Source organism: Homo sapiens, chromosome 11, assembly GCF_000001405.40.
Source record: "Homo sapiens chromosome 11, GRCh38.p14 Primary Assembly".
Taxonomy (NCBI): Eukaryota; Metazoa; Chordata; class Mammalia; order Primates; family Hominidae; genus Homo; species Homo sapiens.
Window position 1 is genome coordinate 133718983 of NC_000011.10, and position 5963 is coordinate 133724945.

The 5963-nt window shown below is 47.3% G+C and overlaps 1 annotated feature.

Moving 5' to 3' along the window:
* Nucleotides 1236–2128: an enhancer, noted in NCBI's record as "H3K4me1 hESC enhancer chr11:133590113-133591005 (GRCh37/hg19 assembly coordinates)". NCBI's record gives its function as "activates a minimal SCP1, AML or CMV promoter by ChIP-STARR-seq in primed H9 embryonic stem cells {active_cell/tissue: H9 hESC(primed)}" and the evidence as "EXISTENCE:reporter gene assay evidence [ECO:0000049][PMID:30033119]".

Genomic DNA, 5963 nt, shown 5'->3' on the forward strand with positions numbered 1-5963 from the left:
ACAAGAAGCAGATGAGCAGCTGCCAGGGTCTGGGGGAGCGGGGATGGGGAGTGGCCGCTAACAGAGTACTGGTTTCCATCTGGGGTGATGGGAAAGTTCTGGAACAGGACTGTGGTGATGGTTGCACAACATTGTGAATGTACTTAATGCCACTGAATTATACACTTTAATATGGTCAAAATGGTAAATTTTGGCTGGATGCGGTGGCTTACACCTGCAATCCCAGTACTTTGGGTGGCTGAGGCAGGGCTTGGGACCAGGAGTTGGAGACCAGTCCAGGCAACATAGCAAGACAGCATCTCTAATTTTTTAAAAAATTAGCTGGGCATAGTGGCACACACCTGTAGTTCTAGCTACTCAGGAGACTGAGGTGGGCATATGGCTTAAGCCCAGGAGTTTGAGGCTGCAGTGAGCTAGGATAGCAATACTGCCCTTCAGCCTGGGCAACAGAGCAAGACTCTGTCTCTTTAAAAAGGTAAATTTTATGTGACATATATTTTATCATATGTATGGTGAAAATCCCTACCATTTGTAAAATACTCTGGATCTGATGAGGCATTCTCCTGTAAGGTACTTTACACGGCCTAATCCCCCTCCCACCTGTTTTCATTCCCCTTTTTCAGATGAAGGAGCCGAGGCTCTCTTGGTCTGGGGTTGCGGCAGGAGCTGGGGTAGTAGGCTCAGTTCATCCGATCCAGCGACCTCGTTCTGGTCACGGTGCATCCACTGAGGAGCAACACTGCCGACCTGATGCTCCTGCTCACAGGGGCGACGTGGGGTGACAATGGTGTGCTGCAGAACAACGTCATTTCCCCCACTTTGCAGTGACAATGCACGAGTGGGACGCTTGGGGCAGGAAAGGGTACAACCTTCTTACTCAAGAAACAGAACAAAAGAAAATGTGTGGCATTACCTCCTCCCCACATTAATGCCTGGGGCCTAGAGCCATCACAGGCGATGATGGAGGGGAGGTGTGGATGGGCTGTTTCCTGCAGCCAGGAGCATCCCCTGGAGAATGCCCTCCCTCGGGCCGGCCTGGGAGGAGGGTTCCCACCAGGCTTTCTCAAGCCCAGCACAAGTGAGTCAGGAACCATCTCCCATTGGTCCTGGTAAGGAGGAGATTTGGAGGAAGGACTGGGAAGCCTGTGGAGCGGGAGGGTACTGGGGGTGGAAGTGGAAGAAGGTGGCACAGTAACAGACTCCCTTCTCCTGAGATTCCCAGCATGGAGTGGAGGGGCTGCCCTGCAGCAGCCCTTACCCCTTGTTACCTGGCAGCCTGCAAGTAGCTCTCAGGGCCAGCCAGGTGGTCACCTGCATCTGTTGGGGGAGAGAAGGAAAACAGATGCCCCGAGTCCTAGAGACTTGCATTATCAGCCCCTGGGTCCAACAGCAAGTGAGCTAAGCACTTGCAAATGTTATCTGATGTATTCTTTATAAGAAGGGGTCACAAAACTGAGGCTTAGAACATGTAAGAGGGAGACAGGGATTTGAGCCTGGGTCAGCTATGTGAGGATCTCCTGTCTGTCCCCGCTGGTTCCAATTCAGGTCTTTGAGTAAAAGGGTTGGGGATGAGCTTCAGGCAGGCTTGTGCCCTCCGGAGCCCCAGGCACAGGACCTGCAGGCACAGGGCAGGCAGGACTACAGTCAGCATAGCCTGGCTTTGCCTGGGTCACTAGGGCCTCCACCAGGCTTGGTTGCATACATACTCAGGCCTGGAGGCCTGCAAAGAAGCCAGCTCTCCCAGCATTATTTGTCAGGACTACTGACAAGAACTGGCGGACAGACCACTCTCCTCCTGACCTGCAGAACCCTGTCTTCAGTGAAGGGGCCTTTTCCAAAACTGTGCCCTGGTCTCAGTCTAAGGACATCTGCCCCCTTCCTAAGAAAGCCCGCCCTACAGGTCCTGTCTCACAGACGGGGAAATGGCCACAGAGGGGTTACATGAGACACCCGAGGCCACATAGCTGATTTGACAGCCACAGAGCCCACAGGAGCTCACTCTGACTCCTTCGATTGTGCTTCTCCACTATGCATAAAAATTTCTCACTGAGCCCATTCTTGGAAACTGGTCTCTCAGCATGTCAGCTTTTTCCCAAGGACCAAATGCAAAGCCCCGCGCGGCGCTGCACTCTGTGTTGTGGAGTCCAGGCTGGTCCACCCACCAACCAGCTTGCTGCCTGGAACTCACAGCCAAAGTCCCCACTTCCCTGGCCTGCAGCCACCACCCAGCACCATGTTTTAAAAACCAACTTGTAAAAGAAGCCACCCAACAGGAACCACTTGTGTCTCTCTCTAACTGTTCCAAATTCAAAGACCATGTGGGTGTTCAAGCAGAAGCTGCGGTTCAAAGCCCAAGTTGCAGGTTTTGATAGAGGATGCAATGCAGAGCCATCCAGAATTTTTTACCTAGTTTGGCGTCCCTGAAAGAGTGGAGATGTCTGTTTCAGGACGTCTTTGTCAGTGGCCGCTCTGAGGAAAGCTCTGCCCTGAATCCTGCAATGACCCCTTTTATCTAGATGAATCAAACAAGGCACTTACGCAGTCGGTGCCTCTCTCTTCCTGTCTGTAACACTGATGAGAAGAAGAAGACACACCTGATGCAAACCCTGCTCTGCTGGTCTCCAGGTCCATGGTCCAAGACAAAGCCCTTAGACGCTCAGAACCTGTTTCTCGTCCATAAAGTGGAGAAATTCACTCCTGCGGACTTTGCTGTGGTTGTCTCCACAGACTCCATGCTCCTTTATCCTAGAAACATCCTCTTCACTTTCTTCTGGGTCTGATGGACCGACTCCTTCCAGGAGTTACAGGGCTGGCCTTGTGACCCGGTTCCCACAAATCGACATATCCCATCCCTCTGGCCACAATGATCAGTTCACAGGCAGGCCATATGCACCGAACTCATTTCCAGGACATTTATTGGAAACGCTGATCATTTGCAGTAAGGATGACCTTAGCTTGGAGCTCTTGGGGTCACCCTAAGGAAAGAACTTGTCTCAGAGTTAAGCCAACAGGGAGGAGAGTAGGGCTGAGTGAGGAAGGGAGATGGACAGAGGGGGAGAGAGCGAGAGGGAGACAGCGTGTACCCAGCGGCATTATTTGACTCCCTAGAACCAGCTGTGTTTGAAGCCAATTCTGACTCCCCCATTTATTATTTACATGAACGAGTTGAACTGAATTTTTGACACTAACACTGAAATGATGCTCATATAATAGGTTTTCTGTTTCATGTTGTTTTCTGTGAGGCTTGGTTGAGATAATATAAGCAAAAGCACTTAGCACAGTGCCTGGCACACAGTAAGCCTTCAATAAATAATGACAGCTATTATGGAAAGCAGATGAGACGATGAATGCAGACACACTCAGAAAGGCATAAAGTGTTGTATAAAAGTAAGGGGCTCGTCATATGTTCCCCTAAGATCTATATACCTCATGTGGCGGCTTTATTGCCCATTCTCTCCTTCTCTAAATATTTCATGTGCCCAATTAGACCGTGAGAACCGCCTGGTGGGAACAATGGTCTCTATTCCACTTTAACTTTAACATATTGTATTCTATAGCATGGTTGTCAAGCACACAGTGGCGGAGCAGGGGAGTTAGGATCACAATGCCTAGACATCTGCCTGCATTTGCTGGCTCTGCCCCTGACTAGTGGAGTGGCCTCGGAGGGGTGACCTCACTAGCCAGGTCCCAGTCTTCTGCTCAGTAAAGTGGGGCTGATGCTAGTACCTACCTCCTTTAATGTTTATGAAGATTAAATTAGTGAACTTAATGAGTTGATTGAATTACCTGCAGCTATTATTAAAATACTTGTAAAGCATAGATAACAGTGCTTGGCACATAGCAATCCCTATGTAAGTGTTTGCTACATAAACAACTTCCAATTGTTTTATTACTATAATACACTTATTCAATATTCAAAGGATATACCAGCCCTTCTTTAATGTTGTGATGAAGAAGACAAGTCCCTGCATTTAAATAATAACTACCACTTATTTATTAAAGTGCATACTAGGTCTCTTCAGTTTTTAATTCTCACACTCCAACTATGCACTTTAAAGCTGCAAGTAAGCAAAGCAAATGTATTACTTTGCAGTTGAGAAAGGAGAGGCCCAGAAAGGCTACAAGGTTTATTCAAGGGACAGAGCTTGCTTGAAACAGTGTGGAGGAGAATCCAGGCCTCTGAAGTCCAGACCCAGCAGCCCCTACCCACCACACAACACGGCCTACAGAGATGAGACATAAGCAGATGGCCAAAACCCATAAACATACACAACTGCAGCTGCACAGATTCCTTCCTTCCTTTAACAAATATTTATTTAGCACTGAAATATGTGCAACTGCCAAGAAATTATGAAATGGACTGCAGTGAAGCAGAACCACTTTCCAACCTGTTGCTTTGTTAAACAGGTAGTGTAGCTGCCTTTCATTCATTCATTTGGTAAATATTTAAATATTTATGGTTGCCAAATACTGAGGATAGATATGGTGTCAACAGAGATTAAAATATTGTGGGTTTAGGTATGTAATAAGTTTTCAATTTTGAACCAACAAATGAATCATTGTAAGTACCAATGGGTGGAAATGGATGGATAAATGGAAGGATGATTAAATAGATGGATGGAAGGATGGACGGATGGATAATTGGGTGGATGGGTGGGTGGATGGATGGATGGTTGGATGGATTGATGGATGGATGGATAAATGAGTGAACGGATGGATGCATGGATGGGTGGGTAGACAGAGAGGTTTTTGCAGAGACATATATGTCTTTGAACTTTGTGCAAAGAAGATTGTACAATTGTCTTCCTTTGATGTTTTTCTCCAAAGGATTTGATATGTAATGTGAGAGATTGAATCTGGTAATTTAGGAAATGGAAGGAACCTAAGAGGTCAGGAAATCCAACTCCCTAACTTTATAGATGAGGAAAGTGGCGATGGAGATCACGTATATGAATGTTTGGTTCTGTGACCTACATTGTGAACATAGCCATTTAGTAACATAGATTCCAATCCCTTGAATGGAATCCCTCCTAGGGAAATTGTTTCATCCCCAGAAGCACTTCCTGACCCACAGAAGCCATGCTTCAAGAGGGCCACCCTCAGAATGTGCTTGTCCGGGATGGTTGATCAGGCCTTTTTCCCTGAGGACAGGAGAGGGTGACTGAATCCTGGCTAAGGACTAAAAGATCATCGGATGAGTCTCAGAGCATCAATTTATAAGGCTGCTAATAAAGTCCATCTGCTTGCAACAGGAGCCCGCCTCTGCGTGTGATTACTGCTCAATAATTGTTCTCGAGGGAAAACATCTGCTGCTCCCATCCCATTGCTGTTGTCGTCTCCTATTTGTCTCACTCCCATGCGTGTCCCATCATGGCTGGGCCGGTATGCTGTGGCCAGGCAAGATGCTGCAGGAGCTCTGGTTCCCTCTTTTTTCATGATGGTCCCCTGTCCTTTTGTCCCTTTGTCCTTTCCCTCTCTGACCCAGCTGTGTTCTCTGTTGCTTCTTTTTTTTATTATTATTATACTTTAAGTTTTAGGGTACATGTGCACAACGTGCAGGTTTGTTACATATGTATACATGTGCCATGTTGGTGTGCTGCACCCATTAACTCGTCATTTACATTAGGTATATCTCCTAATGCTATCCCTCCCCCCGCCCCCCACCCCACAACAGGCCCTGGTGTGTGATGTTCCCCTTCCTGTGTCCATGTGTTCTCATTGTTCAATTCCCACCTATGAGTGAGAACATCCGGTGTTTGGTTTTTTGTCCTTGCGATAGTTTGTCCAACAATGATGGACTGGATTAAGAAAATGTGGCACATATACACCATGGAATACTATGCAGCCATAAAAAAGAGTGAGTTCATGTCCTTTGTAGGGACACGGATGAAGCTGGAAACCATCATTCTCAGCAAACTATCGCAAGGACAAAAAATCTCTGTTGTTTCTTGCCCATTTTGTTC